Here is a 24933-nt window from a genome sequence, read left to right as displayed (position 1 = left end):
TATTTATTAATTTTTTCTTAATACAACAAATGTGAAACTTGCAACTAACCATTACTTACTGCTATCTATATGATCCTTAGTCAAAGATGTATTACACTTGGTCCATTAATTATCCAACCATTTCAATTTATATTAGTATTGTTTCTCTTTACTACACATTTCAACAATAAACAATACTTCATCCTCATCTATATTCATTTATACATGTTTGTTTATTCTTCGTTGCTATTTTAATAATATAATATTTTTAAAATTCATAAACATAAAGAAAAAGAACAAGGTTCTTGTATTTCCCTGACATCTGTCTACAGGAGTTTTTCAGACAGAGGGACTAGGCTAGATACTGCTTGTGATGGACCTCAGAGTTCTAGACACGTATTCATTGTATGACTCATAGGCCACCAGTGGTCATCATCAATCCAGCCAGAATTGGCCCTCTTTTTCTCCTTTTATTTGTAAGCTGTTTCCTAATGATTCATTAGTTCACTAACAATAACATAAATACCTCTGGATCACCAAGTTTTAAGGACAAGATCCTTAAGTATTCCTAGTATCTGTCTACATAATCATTTGCTTCAATTAGTATATTAATACTTCCTTCATTCATCATGTTCATTGTTTAAAATATCTATTAATCTACACAATATTTCATGTCAAGTCCATACGTATCCTTGGGACATAGCTGGCCTTCCTTGATTATATTAATATATAATATTTTTTAAATATTACACTGAATATCCTAAACAAATAAGCAAAAGCAAAAAATAATTTTACTGTTAACTCACATTGGCCCATGTGCACCTCTACAGAGGGGCAGACATGGGGCTCCAGATCAAGGCAAGATGTTCTGCCAGCCCAGGTGTGTCCATTCTGGGAAGTGCAAAGCAGAGAAGGTAACAGGATTGAAATATTTTTCACGGATTCATTCATTTGACCCTTCTCTTAGTCATTCAGGTATCTATTAATTGTGGTAATACTTATCAATTTTCTTTTAAAAAAATGAACAACAGCACACTTGTTCTGATGCAAAATAAGAAACTTCACTATACTGCTTATGTCATCCGTAGTCAAAGATTACACTTGAATTGTTCGTTTTTTAAATGGTATTCATATTTTCAATACATTTTAATGATTTCTGTTGTCTCACCATTTACATTGAGTGGACATGCTTCACACTCCTCATCTTTAATTTTTTACATGTGTACATTGATTATTACATCAATGAATTTATTTTAAAGAAGAAACAAAAGTCACAAAAACAATCCAAGAAGATGGCCCTTTTGTATTTCCAAAACCTAACTATAAGATCACTTCAAAAGCAATAGACTATATTTCCTCCTCTATTGAACCTCAGAGTTCTAGACACACATTATTCAGCATCCTTGACTTCTATGCCACCAGTTTTCATCACTGGCTCAGGCTTAGGACTGTTTAGCTTAATTCTCATTTACATGTTATTTATGCATTAATTCATGAATATTAATATTATAACCCATGTAAATATAATATCCAAACAGTAAGAGCATAGAATATTCCACAACTTTCTATATAATCTGCCACTTTGATATATCTTTCATGAATTATCCTCAATGTGTCATAAATGAGCTAGCAAATATACTGTTTCAACCAATCTCATATTTATCATTGGCTGAGGTTGGCCTTTTGGATAATTTTTCACACATTCATGATATTATGAATACCCTTTAAAAAGTCTCTTAGAGAAAGACATGAACTTTATTACTCACACTGATCTCTATGCTCCTAACCAACAGTGGCAACCACAAATCTCATGACCATGAATGCTTAGGTCGGCTCAAGTGCATCCATTCTGCAGAATACAAAGAGCAGGTAACTCTTTTAGAAAAAATTCAAACCTTATCTCCATTGATCCTTTCCATATTTCTGTTATTCAGTTATTTTTATATTGATTAATTTTTCAGAATGGAAATGTTTTCTCTCATAACAAAAGGAACAATGTCAAATGAGACTTAACCAGAAAATGAAACTGACTCTTACTTATTAAGAGTCTAGATGAACCTTAGCCAAAGAGCTGATACTCATGATCCATTTCTTTTTTTTTTTTTTTTTTTTTTTTTTTTTTGAGACGGAGTCTCGCTCTGTCGCCCAGGCTGGAGTGCAGTGGCGGGACTCATGATCCATTTCTTTAAGGGGCATCTGTGTTTAAAATTTTTAGTGATAATATTTCTTACATCATCATGTATATTCATAATTGAACAATGATTCACCTTTATTTATTCTTGTTTAATTGTTCTATCATTTATCTATTGATGATGAACCTCAATCTATTAATCCAAAGTAAGAATATGATCTTTGCACATTTCTGATATCTATCCAATTATGTTTTCTGTTGGACCTCAGAGTTTCAGACACGTAGTATTCATCGTCCATGACTCAAACGCCACCAGTGGTCATCATTGGTCCATGTTTAGTAGAGGTGGGGTTTCACCATTTTGGCCAGACTGGTCTTGAACTCCTGACCTGAGGTGATCCACCCACCTCGGCCTCCCAAAGTGCTGGGATTACAGGCATGAGCCACCACACCCGGCCAGGGAGACAGTTCTAATAACTACTTCAAGTCCTTTTCTGCTAATGCTCACATCTGTATAAGTTCTGGGTTGGTTTTGATTAATTCATTAGTCTCTTAATTGTGGGTTGTGTATTTTTTGCCCCTTTGAATGCCTGGTAAATTTGCAGATGTGAATTTTACCCTGCTTGTGTGCTGGATATATACGTATTTCTAAAAATGTCCTTGAGCTTTGTTCTGGGATACAGTTAATCTACCTGGAAAGAGTTTGATCCTTTTGGATCTTGTTTTTACCATCCATTAGGTCTGAAGCAGCATTTAATCTGGGGTTAATTATTTCCCCCATGGAGGCACTCGCTTCTTGAGAAACCTCTCCAATGCCCTGTGAGGATGAGCATTTCCAGGCTGCTTGGTGGAAATGGACACTAGTCCCCCCTCACATGAACACTGGGCGCTGGTCTCCCTAATTTTTTGGACAGTATAAGATTTTTTTCTTTTTTCTTTTTATTGATGATAATAAAATAACCATGAAGCACAAAAACCTAGATCATGAATGAGCCTGAAATAGTCCTGCATCTCTATATAGAATCACTTTCTCTCTTTTATTAATCATCCTCAAAGGTGATTAATCAATATAATGTTTCATATCAATTCCATATTTATCACTGAGCCATGGCTGGCTTTCTTGGATTATATTTCATACTTTTCAAATAAAGAGTGTATGTCCACAAAAACTCATATTTTTTTCCATGCGCCAAACATACAGAGGCAGCTATACATCTTGTGACCACCAAAGAATGTTTAAATCAGCTCCAGTGCATCCATTCTAAGGAGTACAAAGCAGAGCATTTGATTAAAAGAAAATTAGGACTTTATCTTAATTGAATCTTACTCCCCACATTTAATTTACTCATTCACTTAGGTGTTTATTAACTTTTTGTAGTTTATATATTTTCTAGACAAAACATACAACCTCCACTTGGTTTGAACCACAGTAATAAAGTTGACTATTATTTATCAGTGTCTATATGATCATTAAGGGTAACACTTTGATCCACTTATTTCTTAATGGGAATAGTGTTTTCAACATTTATTATTAATATTTCTTGCCTGACCACATATATTGATACTTGAATAAAGCTTCACCATCTATAGTACAATAAATCATACTTATTGATTTATATATTAATTTAATGCTTCCATCATTGATTTACTTATAAGAATGCTATCAAATACATATTAGGAATATACAAAGATTTTGCCCTTTTATTTTGGATTTCCATCAGAGTAATTAGACTAAATTTTTTATTGTGTTGGACCTCAGATTTCCAGATACAAACTGTTATTCAACCTCACTGACTCATACCCCAACAGTCATTATCATTGGTCCCAAGCTTGGGCCTCTTTTATCTCATTCATCTCTACATTTCTTTACTGGTTAATTTATCAGTAAACTAATCATATTAAAGTAAATATCTACCTATCTAAAACGCTTATGAACAAAATCCCAAAACCCTTGAGAACAAGATGACTTAAGTATCCCTAACACCAGTCTATAAAGTCATTTACCATGTTTTTTTCATTAATCATCCACAGTGTTATAAATATGGATTAATCAACATGTTTCATGTCCACCACATACTTTCCACTGGGTCATGGGTGGCTTTCTTTGGTTATTTAAAAATTTATAGTGAATCTTTTAAAATCTACCCTAAACAAATATAAAAATATGACAAGAAGATTGACTCTTACTTCTATTAGTGTCCAGGCTCCTACCCAGAGGCAACTGTGGAGAACGCGATCACAGCAGAAGGCCTGTAAGTACAAAGCAGTGCAGATAAAGAAAATAAAAATGGAGACATTATTTTCCTCGATCTATGCATGTCACCTTTCATTTAGCCAATCATTTAGACATTTAAAATTTTCACTTAATATTTATTAATTTTTTAAGAAAACAAACAACATTGATCTTGACACTGACACAAATCAAGAGCGTTTCTTTGTATATTGACTATTTCATAATAGACTCTATTGTTTTCAATATATATGAATAGTTTCTTTTATCTACTCATACAATTTTTGTAATTGGACAGTACTTCACTTATTCAGATTTATTTATATTTGTTTATTAATTATTTTATCTATCTATATTATTTATATCCTCTATATCATCCTTAGCTAGAGGTAACACATTTGAAACATTTATTTCTTAACAGACTTTTTCCATATATATATAAATGGCTTCTCGTTTCCCTACATAGTTTCATAATTGTACGATGATTTCATTACTCATGTGTGTTTCTATTGCTTTATTGATTCTTTCATTGATCTATTTATAATAATAGAATCAAAATCCATTAATGCAAAAACCAAGAACATGAGCCTTGTGTATTCTTAAATCTGTCTATAGGGTATGGTATTTTCAACAGAGGCAGAGTCATCATTGACTGAAGACTGGCCCTCCTCTTCTCCATTACTTCTACATTTGTTTATTTATTAATTCATCCTTTCACTAATAGTAATTAAATAATGTTACAAAAACTTAAGAACAAGAAATACTGTATAGCTCTCTATAGGATCATCTCTCACAGTGATTTTATCATTAATCATTTTTAATTTTATAAATATTAGATAATCAACATAATGTTTCATGGCAATGCCATAATTACCCCTGGACCATGGTTAACCTTTTGGATTATCTGTAATGTTCTTAATAAAACAATGACTACCCCTTAAAAACCCAGAACCAAGACAAGAACTTTGACTATACTCACATTGGTCTCCAAGCTTCTAACACACAGAGGCAACCAGAAACCTCATGACCATGGAAGGGTGCTTAAGTCAACTTGAGGGTGTTCATTGTGAGAGTACAAAGCAAAAAAGATAAAAAGATGGAAATATTCTGTCCATTTATCCACACATTTCTCCTTTCATTCTATTAGTCATGTAAGTATGTGTGAAACTATTTTTTCTTGAGAAAACAAACAACCATGAACATGGTCCTGACCCAAATGACCTCACATACGTTATTATTATTTTTACTGTATATGCCATCCTGCAGCAAGCGAGTAATACCTCTGAGTCATTTATTTGTTAATAGAAAGAAGACCTCAGTGTTTTTAATAAATGTGAATAGTATTTCTTATTTCACCATATATTTCCATAATTGGACAACGCCTATTTTTATCTTTATGCAGTTAAAATATATTTGCTTATTGATTCATTGATCCAATTATAAAAATAGAGGGAAAATGCATGAACGTGAAGACCAAGAACAACATCCTCAAATATTCCTAATGTCTATCCCTAGGATAGAAGGTGAAGACTAGATTTTTTATTATATTGGACCTCAGACTTCCAGACCTGTATTCACCGTCAATGACTCATACGCCACCAGTCATCATCATAGGTCCAAGATTGACTCTATCTTTCTTCATTCATGTCTATCTACATTCGTTTTTTGATTAATCAATTCATTAATAGTGCTGTAATCATAAAATAAATAGCTATGAATAGGGAAGTCTTAAGAATAAATTTGTACTTAGGTAGTGAATAATAAAAATGCTTGACCTTATTTGATTATATTTTAGACTTCTTAAGAATACAGAGAATACCCTTAAAACAAAACAAGAATTTTAACTACTACTCACAAGAGTCTTCCTGTGACACACGGAGGTAACTGTACAGTTCACGGTCATTGCACAGTGATTAAATCAGATGGGGCTGTTCATTCTGAGGAATACAAAGCAGACCAGATGATAAACACTGATAACTTGTCTTCAGTCACCTTTGTATTACCCTTTCATTTTCACAGTAGTTTAGGTATTTATTAATCTGTGATAATATTTACATATTTTTCTTTTAAAAAATTAACAAACTTGAACTTGAACTGATCCAGAACAATAATATTGACTATTTCTTATATGCAGTGTCTTAAGACCCTTAGACAAAGTAGCATGCTTGATACATGTATTTCTTGAGACGTCAGTGTTTTCCATTTATATTAGTAGTTTTTCTTGCCTAATCACATTTATTCATAGGCGAACAATGCTTCAGTCTCGTTTTTTACTTGTTTATATGCTTGTTTGTTGGATTTGTCATTGATCTCTTTATAATAATAAAATCAAAATTTACTAACAAAATCCTTGATATTAGACTTAAGAACTTAAGACAATTACTAACAGCAGCCTATGTCCTCCCTACTCACACAGGTGGCCATCAAAACCTTCATCAGTGGAAAATGATTGCATCAGCCATCACGCCTCCATTCTGTGAAGTACAAAAGAGATGTTAGAAAGAATGAAACCACTGTGATTTTTCTTTCTGTTTATGGATGTCATGTGTTACTGGATTAATTGAAATTCTTGATAGGTAACAGAGTTTTATCATCAGCTTATGATTGCCTATGACTAGCTCAAAGTTAAGTTTTAATAAACTAGTAAGTACAATAAACCTCATTCCTAAATACAAGGAAAAGAACTATATAATGAATACTTGTCTCTATGCCCCTCTCGCATAGATAACAATAATTTAGGTTTACCTTTAAATGAACTGCATTTAAATGAAATTAATCTAAATGATTGTTTCACAGCACAGTTTCATCAATGGTCTACGGTATCCCTTATTTATGTATACATCAGTTTGTATACATCTGTATCTATGTATTTGTGTCTGTACTTCCTTATGGATTAATTAATCATCATTCACATTTCTAAAGAAAATGAACAGGTTAAGAAAACCAACAACTAAGTACTAAAATATAATGTTTGCATCTGTCTACGTATAAAATACCCTAAGTGGACAGAGCCTTGAAATTCTTTGTATATCTGAACAGCAGGTAAATAAAAAGGAACCCAGGCTTCTTAACAGTCAATGTTTGGCCCTCTTTAGTTTAGTTAGTGGGTTAATCTTTTACTTATTTATTTAATGGCTTTTTTCTTTTAATAAAATGAAAAACTATGAATTCACTCTATAACCTGAACAAGAACACTGACTATTACAAAAATTGCCTATATTCTCCTCATCCAAAGGGAAAAAATGCTTCATCAAGTCCTAGTGAAAGTCAGTGTTTCAGAAATATTTTTTGGAATAGCAAATTCATGCTGGGCTTAATACCTAAGTGATGGATTGACAGGTGCAGCAAACCACCATGGCACACATTTACCTAGGTAACAAACCTGCATATCCTGCACATATACCCCAGAACTTAAAATAAAATTAAGATGTAAAGAAGAAACAAAAAATTATTATTTCATTCTATATGCCCACAGTAGATTCTTTTCTTCTTTTATTCTACATTAGTGCACTGATTCAATCATCGATATATTTATAATAATATAATCAATACCTATCAAAACCTTAAAACTTAAATACCATGAGTACTGCCACATTGTCTGTGGGCTCATTTACCACTATCCCTCTTGGGAATGGACACTACTACTGCATATTTGAACTAATCTTAATCCTTGGTTCATACCCAACAAAAACCCACCATTGGTCCATATTTAGTATTCTTCATCATCATTCATTTACACATTATTTCATGTTTCATTGATTTACTAACAGTATAATCAATTCCTATGAATCCCAAAAACCCAATAACAAGAAATCAGACAACCCTGACATCTCTTCATAGGTCATTTCTCACAGAGGAAGGAAGATAGATCCCTTTGTGTGATAGATTCAGTTTTTCAGATTAGCAGATTAATGACCATATCTGCTTCATATTAATCCCATACTCTTAATTGGTCAAGGCTTGATCATCTTTCATTGACCCTGTCCATATTTTAAGGATGTGATGATGAAGAACTACGAAGCTGCCATTTTACTCCACACTGACAATATCTTCCATCTTGGAATGTGAATAAGCTGTCTTTATAGAGGGAGGTTAAAATCAACTGTGACTCAAATAAAATTGAATAATTTATTTTTACATTAATTAACTCAATAATTAACTATTAAAATGAATAAGATGGTCTTGCTTTTTTCTCCTTAACTGACCACAGATGTGCTGAATGATTCACATATAACTTCATTCATTTTATTTGTATACATAGTCATTTATTCCTTTCCAGAAAGACTTAACTCTCTTAACAACCACTAAAGCAAAAGCAATCACTTTGTTACTTACATAGGTTTCTACACTCATTACTCAAACAGACAACAACCATGATCTTCCTCGCTGGAGAATAATTGAATCATTGCGCATTCATTCTGTGGAGTACAAGGTGAATATAATAGGTAGATGAGAAAGAGAGAGAGAGAGAGAGAGAGAGATAGAGAGAAATGGATCAGCCTAGATTTAGATTTTTTTAAAATTCCGTTCAAGTCAACAATTATTGATTAGAAATAAACCCTGGTACTTGTCGTGTATTTAAAAGATGAACAACATTGATTCATTGACTAATTGACTCAAGTATGAAATTTAACTACTGTAAGTAAAACCAGGCAAAATAATAATAATTGTGACTATTAAACACGTCTGTCTGTTTATCTGCCTTCTACTCAACTAGGAAAGGGTTAAATTTCCTTTCTACATGAATCTTGCTAGAAAGAATTAAATTAATCTGAATCCTGGATTCGAGTACATTCTCAACAATTGTGTATGCGTGCATACACACATACATATAAAGTTAAATAGTTACACATGGAGGCATGTCTATTCCGTGTTTTAAGGAAATTGCACCAATGAGACTGAAAGGGAAATACTATCCAAATATATAAACATATTCACCATTCCAAAAATGCAAGAGCCTACCTCAATTTTGTTTATGGAAATAATGACAATACTGGAGAGCTGTTGTATGGAACTGGATTAATCACTCTTTTTGTTCCATAATACCTGGCCCTCATTGGTCCATGATTTGGCCTTATTTTGAATAACTGATTGAGACATTAATTTGTTCCTTTTTACATTTATAATAAAATCATTATGTCTGTGACTTCACAGAAACTGGACAATATCAATGCCCATCCCATGCTCATTAGACAGAAAATTCAGATCATTTTCCTTGCTTTCGTAAATTAAACTGAGGAACTGAATTTAAATAGTGAAGATTATTAGAATTCATTATAACTGGTCATTTGACATATTCTCAAGATAGATCCATGTGTAAACTCTCTCTCAATTAGGTAGTAATTTAAGCAATAATTAAAGTAAACATTTTGCCCTTTTCTTTAAAAAAAAAAAAATGAACACCCTCAAGCAGAACAACAACATGGACTCTAACATCCATTTATCTAACTGCTCCTTACCCAAAGGGTCAGCTTTGATTAATTTATTTTACTGGGACTTAGTGCTTCAGAAACGTATTAGTAATGATTCCTATTATTTTATGTACTCTCATATTTGGAGCAGGAATAACCATTCTGTTATTTATACCGTACTTTTCTTGATTTATCCATATACTTCTTTACTAAAAATAATACAGTCCATACTCAGAAGCCCAAAAACTAAATCCTGATTATTGTTAGCTTCTGGAATAAGCTCATTTCCCATAGACATAATGAAAAGTACTCTTTTTGTAATGGACCTCAGAGTTATAGGGTTTAATCAAAATCCAAGATTCAGACACCCCAGGGTACTCATCATTGATCCAGGATAAGCAATCTTTTCCTTCATTTATACCTTTGTTTATTGATCCATTCATTGATTCAGTAGCAGTAATAAAATCAATACCCATTGTTATTTTAGCATCCACAAACAGTATCCTTGAATATAACCAAGATCTGTTTACAGGCTCTTTTCGCATAGACTAGCCCTATTCTCAATAGACTAGATCTCCTTTTGTAGTGGCCCACAGTGAAGCAAGTATAGATCAATGAACATCCTTGCTTCCTAGCCATCTCATTCCACTTATCTTCCACCTTTCCATGCATTCCTCCCTCATTAAAGAGCTGTCTAACAGGACTTTGCATATAATGTAAACGTACTGTAACTGCGTTCTCCATTACAGTCACCAATAGCAACATACAGCTGCTGAGCACTAGAAATGTGGCTAATGCAACCAAGAAATTACATTTAAAAGTGCATGTACCTTTAATTATTTTAAATATAAATAGCCACATGTGGATAGAGGAAACGACATTGAACAGTGCAGCCATAGATTTTATTAGTGAATAAATCTTAAATTAAATGCAGTACAAAATAAGATGAATTATTAATCAGATAAAAAAATGAATAAAATGTCTTTCATCTTATTTTTAACCAAAATTGTGCTTAATTGGACTAACCACAATCTAAGTTTCATAACACATTCATCTCATTGATCTACATATGCCTTAACTTTAAATAATTCAGTGAACATTAATGAAAAATTTACCCTAATTGACAAGTTTTTGGACTGTTATTTACTTAAGTCTTTAGCTTCCTTACACACAAAGGTAACAGCCAAGATCTTCATCAGCAGAGACTGATTAAATCAACCATGGTCTTCATTCTGTGGAGTTGAATACAAATTTTCAAAAGAATGAACAGTACAGATTTAGATTGACTTAAAAGACATTAGTTGTGTGATATTAAATTAATCATAAAGTTGATTCAAATCCCATTTTTATCACTGACCCAAGAACTGCACTTATTTTTATTTCCTGATTTAACTATTAACTTTAAATAATACAATAAACACTGTTAAATTCATCACCCAAAACAAAAACTATGACTATGGCACACATCTGTCTATAGACACCTACACAGGCAACCGCTTTAGATCATCTTTTTTATTTAATGGACTCAACATGTGTAGAAATGGATGAATTTAAATTCATGATTCATGGCATATTATCACCAATGGTAAATGCTTTACCCTACTTATATATGAATTCATTTATTGTTTTGATTTGTTTATGTTATGACGCATGGAATATTTCATTATACATTCACAAATACTAACACACACACACACACACACACACACACACACAGAGCAGTAAACTCATGAAGAACCCACAACAGAAATGCTTTTCATGTTCAATGTCTATATTCCCACACCTAACCAGGAAGACAGCATCAGTAGTTTAGAAAAAGACTAACTTTCATTTTCATTTCTCACTCAGTTGTGTTACGCCCTCTTTTAAAAAATTAATTGTGACAAGGACATATTCTATTCACATGTAACAATTCAATATATAGGAATTTACTTACATTATAGAAGAAGCTTGAATAATATTATGTCTCCATATGTCCATTATGCTATCCACAAGATTTAGAAACTAGATGCTTTTTTTAGTTTTTAATAAAACTCAGTACAGAGTTGGATTTATAATAACTTTTCATAAGGAATATTCTCAAGTTGAAACATGCTCATTTATTTCCAATTAAATAACTGTTTCATCTATTATTTATTTATGCAATTTTCCCTCCTCTAAATAAAACCAATCAGTAAACAACCATCAACATCAAACAATTATTTTGTGTCTGGCATACATCTGTCCACATACGCCTTCCAAAACAAGGCAACAGCCTCTATCATTATATATCACTGGAATTCAGTGCTATCGAAGCATATAATAATAATCCATTCGTCATTACATACTCTCATAATTGGTCAATGCCAAGCTCTCCTTATATTTACCCATTTATGCAAAATTTATGCATTGATTTACTTATAAAATGGAATCTATACCAAAAAACTATGAACACCCATGATCAAGATACCTGAATATTCTGAACTTGTGTTATAAGCTCATTTCCCTAGAGGGAAAAATGGGGGCCTCTTTTTAAAATGGACCTCAGAGTTACAGATGGCTTTAATCAAAATTTTTGATTCAGACACCCTCCAATCTCATCATTGGTCCAGGCTTGGCACTCTTTCTTCATTCATGTATACCTTCATTTTCCCATGAATCACAAATTCTAAGAACAAGATCCTGGATATCACAACAATATATCTCTAGGCTCAATTCCCACAAAGCTGTCAGACTAGATCTCAGTGCCACACATGGAATAATCAACAAATCTTGCTTCAGATCAGTACTATCAACATGAATGGCCGATGACTGGGCTATGTTCATTTAATTTGCCTAATTTTAAAGGTGGTATAATGAACAATGAAAATCCACAATGGTATCCCCCACTAGAACACAAACAGCATGTTTCACCTTACAAGAGCTTCTCCTGAACAGTTAACAGCCTGAATCTCTTCCAATATGGAAATGCTTAAATCAGGTATGGCGCAGAAATACTACAAAATATGAAACACTTCTGAAAATTAAATTCCTTCTACCTTTTTAAAAAATAAGTCTCTATTGTGCTGAAATGGGTCAGTCCTACTCCTTGGCCTACAACACATTCCTATTATTGGTTGTTACTTGATGTTTTCATTTTTGTGTATATGGCCTTTTGTTCCTTTCTTCAATAATCACACATGAACCAACCACATAACCCACCAACAGAAACTCCATTACTCACATTGCTCCTTACCACAGAAGAAATCGCCATGCTCTTCACCTTGGGGAAATGACCAAATCCAATCTCGTCTATTCCTTCTGGAGGAAAAGGCAGATTTTTATAAGAATAAAAAGTGTACATTTTAAAATCCATTTTTAAGTAGAAGTTAGTTCTCCATTACTGGATGGATCATAAACATTGGTTTGTGTCAAATTTTAATCATCAACCCAACAGTAGTTCTTTTTCATGTATTGACATAATTCTTAGCATGAAATAATATCATGAACATTTTTGAATCTACCACCAAACACTAGAAGAGCAGTTTTCAATATCTGCCTAGGTATTCCTAGCATAAAGGGAAGACACATTTTTAATGAGGAAAACTTTTGCACTATAAGACGAATTTAAATTGTTGTTTTATAACACAATCTGACCAGTGGGCCACAGTTATTTTAATTCAAACTATTTACTGATTTGTTTATTTACTCATCTATTTAATAACTCAAAAAATAATTTAATTATCTACTCTCCTTTCTAAAGAAAACTCAAAATGGTGAAGACACCTGCTACCTAAAATTAAATACTATTACCTGCAACTGTTCATATTAGCCCTGTATGCACTGTGGGAACGTTCTTCGGTGATACGAGTGTTCTCTATTGGCAATTCTGAAATGGTGGTCACTTGCGACATGTGGCTTGGGGTGTGGCTAGTGCGACTGAGGAACTGAATTTTTATTTTTAATTAATTTCCATTTAAATGTTAATATCAAAATATGTCTAGAGAGTGGGTCTTCACAACCCTTCCAAAGGAAGGAGGGTCCTGGACCTTTTTGTTTAAGTAAACCTCAAGAGGATAGACAAGATTAATCACACCCTTTCATACATTACATATGCTTCTCACTAGTCCATGATTTGCCCTCTTTTAAATAAGGGATGGAGATATAAAATGATTCTTTTACTCATAATAATAGTGCCACTATTCATGAATTCAGAAGACACTGGACAAAAACCCTTCATGACACTAGCATCTATTTATTCACTTATTACTCATGAAAGTCATAAAAATGCATTTGCATTTTTCTTTTTAAATAAAAATGAGCAAACATAAGAGGATTTTTGGTTATTATATTCAAATTTTCAACGTTCATCCTTAGACTTTCTCCACATTTCACAACCTAATCATTAGTATTTTAGTGTTTATTATTAATTGTATTAAATTGTTGTTTATTATAAAAATTATGTTAATGTGTTTAGCATGATTTGCAATATTGTTATTATTGAATATGAATGTTAATTTTATTGGCTAATATTTATTATATTAAGTATTATTAAACTAAATACATCATTTAAGTATATGTTTTATCCCTTTCTAAATCAAACAAGACACGCAACCAGAAACTTGCCACTAACTCGGAACACTGAGTGCATATCTATCTATATGCTCTCGAAGGAGGAGCAGACTTATATAAACTCAAAACATCATTAGCTCCTTTCATAATTGAATGAAATGAAGCCTTCCTTGTCTTTATTTGTATTTTTCTTTATTCATTCATTGATTTACTTATAATACAATCTATACCCATTAACCAAAAAGGACCAAAAACATATTCCTTGAATATGTCTAACTTTCTCTCCAAGCACATTTCCCATAGATGCAATGGACCTCAGAGATACAGACAGGGTATAATCAGAATATTTGATTCAGATGCCCCACGCATACTCATCATTGATCCAGACTTGGTATTCTGTGCTTTAATTCAATTATACTGTTCTTGATTTAGGCATTGATTCACTAATAGTAAAATCACTATCCATGAATTAGAGGGCAAAAAGATCCTTGAAGAAGTAACTATGTCTGTAAGATTCATATTCCACAGAACTAGAGGACTGGCTCTCTCTGTAATGAGCCTCAGTATTGCAAAGGTGAATTAATTCATTCCACAAATTGCACCACGTCAATTCCATATATTCCATTAGTCCATGGTTGGGCTTTTTTCATTTAACATCCGTATTTTTAAGACGTTACTATGGTTATATCATGGTATAACCACCAAGTTATACCACAGCTATAGGCAAGGTTTTCCATTTTCTTATGTTCTTCCCTCAATTAGTTAACTGTCAATAACAATCACAATGGGGAAGTATTTAAATCCACTATGGTACAAAAACAGCATATTAAGGCATTCTGAAAATGACAGAAATACCTTTCAACTTTTTGTCCTAATGAATTTCGTTGTGCTGAAATGGATTAATCATAATTCTTAATTCATAACACATTTCTACCATTGTTCCATGCATAACCACCTTTGACTCATTTATGTATGTAGCCTTTTATTCCTTTGAAATAATTCAATGAATAAACTTGATCAAGTTTCCCAAGCGAGAACACAAAGTTTGATTTTTACTTACATCAATCTCTTCTCTCCTGATTCACAGAGATAACAGCAAGATCTTCACCAGAAGACTATAATTAAATCAGGTAGAGTGCGTTCATTCTGCAGCATAAAACGCAAATTTTAAAAAGAATCAAATACTATATGTTTAGCTCTTTAAAATGAATCATAGCTCTGTAGTAAACAATCATAAACCTTGTTTTGTACCCTATTCTGAACACTTGAGAAGAGAGAACACTTCTATTTATTAACTTACATAAATTGTTTTTGTCAAGATGAAATATCTCTCACCATGAAATTTTTTGTTTTAGATAATATAATAAACGCTGTGAATCTAGTACCAAACTTGTCTGTTTGCTTAAGTAAAATTCCATAAAAGACTGAATTAATCATGAGTGTCGTTGTATATAGATCTCATCATCATTCCATGCTCTCCCTCTCTCAATTACAGTTACTCAGTCAACTATTTATTTATGTAAATGTATTTCTTTTTCCTTAATAAAATGATCAACCAGTAACCTGCCTCAACACAGAACAAAAACATTCAGTCTTGTGCACAGATGACCATATGCTCCTTACCAAAATGAATAGAGCCTTAGCCACTAATTTATTGGGACTAAGAACCTCAAAATTGTTTCAATAATAATCCATGTTGCATTACATGCCTTAGTAGGTAAGTGCATGCATACCTTTCTTATTCTTCATTCATTGATAAAATTCTATATTCATGGACTAAGTTTATTATAATAATTAATTCATACCCTCAAACCACAAAAGGCCCATGAACAAGGTCCTAGACTCATTTTCCATGAAGAATAAAGAGGTGTCTCTTTGTAATGGACCTCAGAGTTGCAGATGGGTTTAATCAAAAATGTTGTTTCAGAAACCCCATGATATTCATCACTGGTCCATGATGTGCATTTTTTTCATCTATTGATTGACCTATTGACTCACAAATAACGATACAATCAAAAATCCCCAAAACAAGATCATTAAATTTTAGGCTCTTGGCCCATAGAGCTAGACTACATTTCTTAGGCCATGACACGTAAAGGTGCACATGTGAATTGGTCAATGCCCCTGCATGCTCTCAGTTCACATTCAGCATTCGTTCTGATATAGCCCACTTCTATTTAATTCATACATATGTCAACGATGGCCTGATAAAAAACAACGAAATCACCTATTTCCATATTCTCATGCGCTGCCCCAAAACGGATGTCAGCCAGGATCTCTACCCATAAGGGAACGTGTAAAATAACCATGGCATGAAATAAAGAATAATGTTGAGCTGCTCTGAGAATAAGTTAACTTTTGTCTTCTTTTATAATCAACTCAGTTGTGACGATTTAGATTAAACATAATTCATGGTTCATTACACATTCCCATCATTGGTGCATTTGGGGTGTGTTATTTATTTCACGTATGTAGACATTGATTCCTTTGAAATCCTTTAGCTAACACCCAAAAACAAACCATTCAAAGAAAGAACTTGAAATAAGGAACTTACTTATATTTGTCTCTATGCTCCTTACTCAGGATAACAGTTCTTTCTTAAATTATTAAATCAGCTGGCCTATGTCCACTCTGGAGGGAAAAAGGCAGATTTAGAATAGATATACGGTTTTCTCAATGGATGTTAGTCAAGCAGAACTAGATAACAATAAACCTTGGCTCAAAAATGCAATTTTTTCAGGCCAGTATTGAACTTTTAGTTTTAAATAGTATAATAGACACTAATGCGTCACCTAGCCCAAGAATAAGATCTGTAATGATTATGAATATTTGTCTATATAAAAATCTGTTAAGTAGATATTACTTAATGGATTTCTGGCTGATGCAAACACTTTCCCTTTTCTTAATTAAAAAAAAAGCAAACTATAAAACCAAAAAAATTGTCTCAACTGCAGATACAATATGTTCTGTATAATAGGATTTTACCTCAGATTAATAATTATACTTGTTTTATTGCCAGTGTTAATATTTATAATACTTTTTCATTGTACTCAAAGAATAGTTCCATAAGTAGGACTGTTAATCTTCTCTCATGTATACACATTTCTCTATTTACGCATTGAATTCACTTAAAATAATACATTCCATATCTTTGAACTACAAAAGTTCAGGAACAAGTTTTATTGAATTTTCCTAACTTCTATTAGGTAATTTCTACAGAGAATATAGGCTGGTTCTCATTCAATAACAGATCTCAGAGTTACACAGAGGGCTTAATCAAAAGTGTTGATTCAGACACCTCCACCAATACTCATCATTGATCCAGGCTAGGCATTCTATTTCTTCATTCATTTATACCTTGTTGAACTGACTCAGTCATTCATGGTTTCAGGAATAATAATTATATGATCAATATCCCTTAATGACACAAAACTGAGAACAGAAGTCTTTAATAGAACCAAGATCTGTTCATTACTCTCTTTCATGCAGAACAAATAGACTAGATCATATTTTGTGATCAACCTCAAGTTTACACATAGAGATTCATCAGCGACTCTGCTGCATTTAAATCTCATACTTATGATTGGTGTCTACCAGCTTCCCTTCCACTTGATTTGTCTACTCATTAATGTGATTGCAAACCATGGATCTACCATGTGAGCCCACAATTAAGCAAATTAATATATAATATCTCCCAAGGTACCTCTACCTCAAAAACTCAACAACTTCAATGTCTGTCCGTGAAGGAATATGTTAAGCAACTATAGCAAAAACATTAAATGGGAATTTAAATTACTATGACAATATATGAAATGCTCTTCCTTTATTTAACAATGGTCTTCAGTTGGGTTGGGTTGAATTAATCATAAAATTTTGTTGATGACACATTACAATCATAGGTCCATGACTGGCATTCCTTAATTTCATGTGTTATTTAACCATTTATTTTATCAAAATAATGTAGTGGGTTCCCATGAATGAATACAGTCCAAGCCCAAAACATCAATTTGATGTTTACTTACATCAGTCTTTCTGCTCCTTAGTCCACAAATAACAATAATGGTCTTCATGATTAGAGAATAATAAGACCAGCTACATGGTTTTCATTCTATAGAGAAAAATAAAGCCTTCTTTTAAAAACATTTTAAAAGGCTCTTTTTAAAAGCCTCTTTTTAAAAACATTTTTCTAAGAAACTACTTGGAAAGAACCATGTATGTATTCCAAAAACAATGAGAGAGCCTAGAGTTTTTCTTAGAATGTCTATCATGAAAAAAAAAAACAAGAATCAGCATTCTCATATCATAACATTTGTTCCTAATTGGTCCATGGTTTGCTGACTCTAAAATATAAACTGAGACATAAAAATGCAAGTTCCTTCTCATATACAAAAGACATCAGTATCTGTGATCTCACAGCACTGGACAAGAACACTGAAGAATATTTACATCTGTCTAGAGTTATTGCCCTCAGGAAGAATAGACTGTGTTTCTTTTATTATTTGTTTAATAAAAATCCATTAAAAAATAGATTAATACACTCATCATTGGTCTCTGCTTGGTCTCAATTAAGTGGTTATTTAACCAACTATTTATATGATTAAAGATGCTTCATTTTCTTCATAAAATAGTCAGCAACCCACCACCAACACAGAACAAAAACTGACTCTTGCATACAAATGACCATATGCTCCTTACCAGAATGGTAGAAGCCTTGGGTATTAATTTATTGGGAGTCTCAGATAAGTTTTAATAATAATCCATGTTTCATTACAGTCACTGATAATAAGTACATGACTTATGCTTTATGTTTTACTCATTGATAAATTTTTAATTCATGGGCTGATTTTATAACAAAAATGCAATCCATCCCCAAGAACCACAAAGTCCAAGGAAAAGGTACCATAGGCTCACTTCCCAAAAAAGGAATAATACGTGTCTCTTTGTAATGGACCTCAGAATTGCATATGGGTTTAATCAAAAATCCTGTTTCAGATACCCCATGGTACTCATCATTGGTCCAAGCACGTTTTTCTTCCTTTATATCATTCATTTATTATTCATTGGTTCATGAATAATAATATAACCACAAAATTCTAGGAATAAGATCTCCCCATTAGTGGCTCTCTCCCTGAAGACTAGGTCTCCTTTTACAATGGACCTCAGAGAACATGTGTGATTAATTAACATCCATGCTTCATACCAAATTCACAATCACCATTATTTCTTCTGTAGTCTTCTTTTAGTCAATTTGCCCATGTTTTAAAGACAGTGCAATGAAAAGTGATAAAACCACCATCTTCCAACACTGACAGTGTCTTCCATATTCTCTCAGGCTGCCACACAAAGAGTTATCGGCCAGGACCATACCAATATGGAAAAGATTAAATCATTTGAGGTAGAAAATAAGATACAATGTTAAATAATTGTGAATATAAATGGTCTAACTACTATATTTTTATCACTTCAGTTGTGCCAAATTATATTAAACATATTTTCGGAACACATTTCCATCACTGGTCCATTCCTGGTTATTTTAATTTGTTATAGATATTGATTCCTTTGAAATACCACTAAACACTCCTGAACAAAGCATCCAAACCAAGGACATGAACTTGAGGTGTTAACTTACATTAGTATCTATATTCTTTACCCCACGGATCTAACTGCCAAGATTTTGTTTCTTAGAAAATGAATGTCATCTATCCTGTGGTTGTTACGTGGAAGAAAAGTAGACTTATCCTAGAAGAACAAGAAGAAATAAAAGGCATCTTTATAGAAAAAAGAAGAGGTGAGATTGTCTCTATTTGCTGATGACACGATTTTATATACAGAAAATCCAAACTACCTCACACAAAAAAAAAAAACTGTTAGAACTGATAAATGACTTCAGTAAAATTGCTGGATAGAAAATCATCAAAAAAAATTCAGTAGTGACTCTATATCCTAATAGGTAATTAACTTGAAATGAAGAAAATAAGCCCATTTACAATAGCACCAAAAATATTGTCTAAATTTAACCTAGATGGTGAAAGACCTGTATGCTGAAAACTATAAAACACTAGTGAAAGAAATTGAAGAAAACACAAATAAATGGAAATATACCCTGTGTTCATGGGTTGAAAGAACTAAAATTGTTAAAGTGTCTATGCTACCTAAACCCATTTACAGGTTCAATTCAATTCCTATTAAAATTCCAATGTCATTTTGCATAGAAATAGGGGGGGAAATCCTTAAATCCATATAGAACCACAAAAGACACTGAATAGCCACATACAAAAAATCTTAAACAAAAAGAACAAAGCTGGAGGCATTACATCCCTGACTTCAAAATATATTATAAAGTGATTATAATCAAAACAGCATAATACTGGCATAAAAACAGATACATCAGCCAATGGAGCAGAATTAAAAGTTCATAAATAAACTCACACATTTACAATCAATTGATTTTGGACAAAGGTGCCGAGAGAACACAATGGGAAAAAGACAGTATCTTCAATAAATGGTTTTGGGAAAACTGGTTATCAACATGCAGAATGAAATTAGATCTTTATCTCACCCAATATACAAAAATCAACTCAAAATGGATTAAAAACTTCAACATAAAATCTGAAACTATAAAACTACTAGAGGAAAAGCTCCACAACATTGGCATAGACAATGATTTTTTTAATAAGACCCCAAAAACACAGACAACAAAAGTAAAAATAGACAAGTAGAATGTCATCAAATTAAAAACCTTATGCCCAGCAAAGGAACAATTAACAAAATGAAGAGACAACTTCCAGGTCAGGAAAACAAATCTGCAAACCATACATCTCATAGGGGTTAATATGCAAAATATATAAGGAACACAAACAATTCAATAGCAAGAAAACCCAATTTAAAAATAGACACATGATTTGGACAGATATTTTCCCAAAGAAGACATACTAATGGCCAACAGATATATAAAAAAATTATCAGTCACTCTAATCACTAGGGAAACACAAATTAAAATCACAATGAGATATCATCTCTTATCTTTTAGAATGGCTTTCATCAAAAAAATGAAAGGTAACAAATGATGGCAAGGATGCAGAGAAAAGGGAACTCTTCTACATTGTTGGTAGGAATGTAATTTAGTACAGCCATTGTGGAAGAAGTTATGGAGATTATGGATAGGAAAGTCCAATATTGTCAAGATGTCAGTTCTTCCCAGCTTGATTCAATGCAATCCCAATAAAAACCCCAGGAAGTTATTTTGTGGATATTGACAAAACTGTCCTAAAGTTTACATGGAGAGGCAAAAGACCCAGAATTGCCAACACAACATTGAAGAGAAGAACAAAGTTGGAGGACTGGCAATACCCATATTCAAAACTTACTACAAAGCTACAGTAATAGACAGTGTGGTATTGGCAAAAGAACAGACAAATAGATCAATGGAACAGAGTAGAAAGCCCAGAAATAGACTCACATAAATATAATCAACTGATCTTTGAACTTTCAAAATTTCTGCTCCATAAAGAAACTGTCAAGAAAATGAAAAGACAAGCAACAAATTAGGAGAAGATATTTGCAAAAGACATATTGGATAAAGCACTATTATACAAAATACACAAAATACTCTTAAAACTCAACAATAGGCTGGGCATGGTGGCTCCCAGCCCTTTGGGAGGCCAAGGTGGGCAGATCACGAGGTCAAGAGATCAAGACCATCCTGGCCAACATGGTGAAACCCCGTCTCTACTAAAAATACAAAAATTAGCTGGGCATGGTGACGAGCACTTGTAGTTTCAGCTACTTGGGAGGCTGAGGGAGGAGAATCGCTTGAACCCGGGAAATGGCGGTTGCAGTGAGCCAAGATCAGCCTGGTGACGGAGTGAGACTCTGTCTCAAAAACAAGCAAACAAACAAAAACACTCAACAATAAGAAAGTGATCAGATTTTAAAATGGGCCAAAGACCTTAACAGACACCTCACCAACAAAGATATAAGGGTGGCAAATAATCACATGAAAACGTGCTCCACATCATATATTATTGGGAAAATGCAAATTAAAACAACGAGATACCACCGCACACCTATTAGAATGACCAAAATGCAGAACACTAACAACACCAAATGATGGCAAAAACGTGGAGTCACAAGAACTCTCATTCATTGCTGGTAGGAATACAAAATCAACACAATCACATTGGAAGACAGTTTGGCAGTTTCTTCTACAACTAAACATAGTTTTACCATACAATCCAGCAATCATGCACCTTGGTATTTACCCATAGTTGAAAAATTATATCCACACAAAAACCTGCACACACACGTTTATACCAGCTTTTTTCATAATTGCCAAAACTTGGAAGAAACCAAGATATCCTTCAGTAGGTGAATGGATAAATCAACTGTGGTAAACCTAGAAAATGGAATATTATTCAGCACTAAAAAAAAGAGCGATCAAGCTATGCTTAACATGGAAGAACCTTAAATGCAGAGTACTTGTGAAAGAAGCCAATCTGAAAAGGCCACGTATTGTATGATTTCAACTGTATGACATTCTGGAAAAGGCAAAACTACAGAGACAATAAAAGATCAGTGGTTGCCACGGGTTGGTAGGGGAGGGAGGGATGACTAGGCAGAACCCAGAGGATGTTCAGAGCATTGTGGTATTTTGTATGATACTATAATGGTGGATATATGTCATTATAAATTTGTCCAAAACCACATAATGTACAACACCAAGAGTGCACCCTATTGTAAACTATGGACTTTGGGTGATTATGATATGCCAATGTAGATTATAACAAAAGCACTACTCTAATGGGGTGGATGTTGATAACAGGGGAGGCTATACATGCAGAAGGACAAAGGGCATATGGGAAATAATCTCTGTACCTTCTGCTCAATTTTGCTGTGAACCCAAAATTACAGGCGCGGTGGTCCACCCCTGTAATTCCAACACTTTGGGAGGCCCAGGCGGACAGATTGTCTGAGCTCAAGAGTTCAAGACGGTGAAACCCTGTCTCTACTAAAATACAAAAAATTAGCCAGGCGTGGCAGTGTGTGCCTGTAATCCCAGCTACTCAGGAGGCTGAGGCAGGAGAACCGCTTGAACCCAGGAGGCGGAGGTTGCAGTGAGCCGAGATCGCACCACTGCACTCCAGCCGGGGCAACCTGACCTCGGGTGATCCGCATGCCTCAGCCTCCCAAAATGCTGAGATTACAGGTGTGAGCCACAGTGCCCGGCCTAATTTGTCTGTATTTTAAATGTGGCACAATAAATGACCACGAGCACACCATCTTACCCCACAATAGGAACACTGACAATATAAACCATTGTCTATGTACTGCCCTTAAACATTCAACAGATTGGCCGGGCACCGTGGCTCACGCCTGTAATCTCACCACTTTGGGAGGCCAAGGCAGACGTATCACGAGGTCAAGAGATCGAGACCATCCTGGCCAACACGGTGAAACCTTCTCTCCACTAAAAATACAAAAATTAGCTGGGCATGGTGGCACGTGTCTGTAGTCCCAGCTACTCGGGAGGCTGAGGCAGAAGAATCGCTTGAACCCAAGAGGCGGAGATTGCAGTGAGCCGAGATCTCACCACTGCACTCCTGCCTGGTGACAGACAGAGGCTCCGTCTCAAAAAAAAAAAAAAAAAAAAAAAAAAAAAAAATATATATATATATATATATATATATATATATGTTCAACAGATTAGGTCACTTGAGGAAATATAAGTTAGCTATGGTGCAAAAATAAAATGGAATAATCCTCAACTCTAAAAGTCATTTAAAAACCCTCTAACTTATTTTCTTTAATGTTCTCAGTTGTGTCGAATGGAAATAGAATTTTGTTATTGTTTACAATCATTTCTATCACTGGGCAATGCACAGAGCTTTTTTTTTTTTTTTTTTTTTTTTTGAGACAGAGTCTCACTGTGTTGCCAAGGCTGGAGTACAGTGGCGCGATCACAGCACAGAGCTTTTTTACTTTATTTAAATATGTGCCCATTTATTTCTCTAAAATAATAAAAAGCATGAACAAGCCCACACGAATCAAGAATATAAAAATTAACTTAAATCCATTCCTACACTTTTTACCCACAGAAGTAAAAGCCATAATTTTCACCACTGAAAAATAATTAAATCAGGTATGGTGCATCTATTGTGTAAAGTAAGAGTAGATTTAAGAAAGAACAGCCTACATGCATTTAAATCTTTCAAGGGACATTTGTAGGACAGTACTAGATTAATTATAAACTCTTATTCACACCACATTTTAATCAGTGGCCCAAGAATGGCCTGGAATATTATTTACTGATTTATCTGGCACCCAACACAAGAATAAAAGCTACTACAAGTATCCATCTATGTGTTTTCTACCCAGATGGTAAAAATCTGAACTTTATTCCCAATAATGGATCTCATTTATACAGTACAGAATTAGGTAAATTTAACCACTTTTTTTATGGTAAATTTTCACCAAAATAGTCCATGCTAGACTCTCCTTTATGTGTTTCTTTATTCATTTGTCATTTCACTTATTCATTTAGTAAGTACTCATGAACAATTCTTTGTTTTTTCGGAGAAAACACAGTATGATCAGCCCATCAACAACCCAGAATCGTAATACAATTAAATGCAACTATACACATGAACCTGACC

At 33.5% G+C, this 24933-nt stretch overlaps 1 long non-coding RNA gene and 11 other non-coding genes across 12 annotated transcripts in view; all 12 read right to left on the bottom strand.

Moving 5' to 3' along the window:
• Nucleotides 1-24933, bottom strand: part of MEG8 (maternally expressed 8, small nucleolar RNA host gene) — a 109465-nt gene that overhangs the window by 43322 nt on the left and 41210 nt on the right. The window contains exons 10-22 of the long non-coding RNA NR_146000.1: nucleotides 19911-20020; nucleotides 18304-18389; nucleotides 16836-16912; nucleotides 15342-15427; nucleotides 12954-13030; nucleotides 10867-10983; nucleotides 8676-8758; nucleotides 6753-6814; nucleotides 6196-6277; nucleotides 5320-5390; nucleotides 4298-4360; nucleotides 1746-1828; nucleotides 786-870 (exon numbers count right to left, since the gene is read on the bottom strand). This is a non-coding gene — a long non-coding RNA (maternally expressed 8, small nucleolar RNA host gene). The remainder of the gene's footprint in view (nucleotides 1-785; nucleotides 871-1745; nucleotides 1829-4297; nucleotides 4361-5319; nucleotides 5391-6195; nucleotides 6278-6752; nucleotides 6815-8675; nucleotides 8759-10866; nucleotides 10984-12953; nucleotides 13031-15341; nucleotides 15428-16835; nucleotides 16913-18303; nucleotides 18390-19910; nucleotides 20021-24933) is intronic.
• On the bottom strand, nucleotides 354-422 carry SNORD114-5 (small nucleolar RNA, C/D box 114-5). Its single transcript, NR_003197.1, has one exon. It is a non-coding gene; the product is annotated as a small nucleolar RNA, C/D box 114-5 (small nucleolar RNA).
• Nucleotides 1345-1448, bottom strand: SNORD114-4 (small nucleolar RNA, C/D box 114-4). Its single transcript, NR_003196.1, has one exon. It is a non-coding gene; the product is annotated as a small nucleolar RNA, C/D box 114-4 (small nucleolar RNA).
• SNORD114-3 (small nucleolar RNA, C/D box 114-3) lies at nucleotides 2370-2443 on the bottom strand. The gene has a single exon (NR_003195.1). It is a non-coding gene; the product is annotated as a small nucleolar RNA, C/D box 114-3 (small nucleolar RNA).
• SNORD114-2 (small nucleolar RNA, C/D box 114-2) lies at nucleotides 3860-3936 on the bottom strand. The gene has a single exon (NR_003194.1). It is a non-coding gene; the product is annotated as a small nucleolar RNA, C/D box 114-2 (small nucleolar RNA).
• SNORD114-1 (small nucleolar RNA, C/D box 114-1) lies at nucleotides 5889-5959 on the bottom strand. Its single transcript, NR_003193.1, has one exon. It is a non-coding gene; the product is annotated as a small nucleolar RNA, C/D box 114-1 (small nucleolar RNA).
• Nucleotides 10073-10143, bottom strand: SNORD113-9 (small nucleolar RNA, C/D box 113-9). Its single transcript, NR_003237.1, has one exon. It is a non-coding gene; the product is annotated as a small nucleolar RNA, C/D box 113-9 (small nucleolar RNA).
• Nucleotides 12269-12341, bottom strand: SNORD113-8 (small nucleolar RNA, C/D box 113-8). The gene has a single exon (NR_003236.1). It is a non-coding gene; the product is annotated as a small nucleolar RNA, C/D box 113-8 (small nucleolar RNA).
• SNORD113-7 (small nucleolar RNA, C/D box 113-7) lies at nucleotides 14591-14666 on the bottom strand. The gene has a single exon (NR_003235.1). It is a non-coding gene; the product is annotated as a small nucleolar RNA, C/D box 113-7 (small nucleolar RNA).
• On the bottom strand, nucleotides 16163-16236 carry SNORD113-6 (small nucleolar RNA, C/D box 113-6). The gene has a single exon (NR_003234.1). It is a non-coding gene; the product is annotated as a small nucleolar RNA, C/D box 113-6 (small nucleolar RNA).
• SNORD113-5 (small nucleolar RNA, C/D box 113-5) lies at nucleotides 17529-17605 on the bottom strand. The gene has a single exon (NR_003233.1). It is a non-coding gene; the product is annotated as a small nucleolar RNA, C/D box 113-5 (small nucleolar RNA).
• On the bottom strand, nucleotides 19228-19301 carry SNORD113-4 (small nucleolar RNA, C/D box 113-4). The gene has a single exon (NR_003232.1). It is a non-coding gene; the product is annotated as a small nucleolar RNA, C/D box 113-4 (small nucleolar RNA).

This window comes from Homo sapiens, chromosome 14 (assembly GCF_000001405.40).
Source record: "Homo sapiens chromosome 14, GRCh38.p14 Primary Assembly".
NCBI lineage: Eukaryota > Metazoa > Chordata > Mammalia > Primates > Hominidae > Homo > Homo sapiens.
Note: the sequence above shows the minus strand (reverse complement) of the source record. Positions and strands in the feature narration are given on the sequence as shown.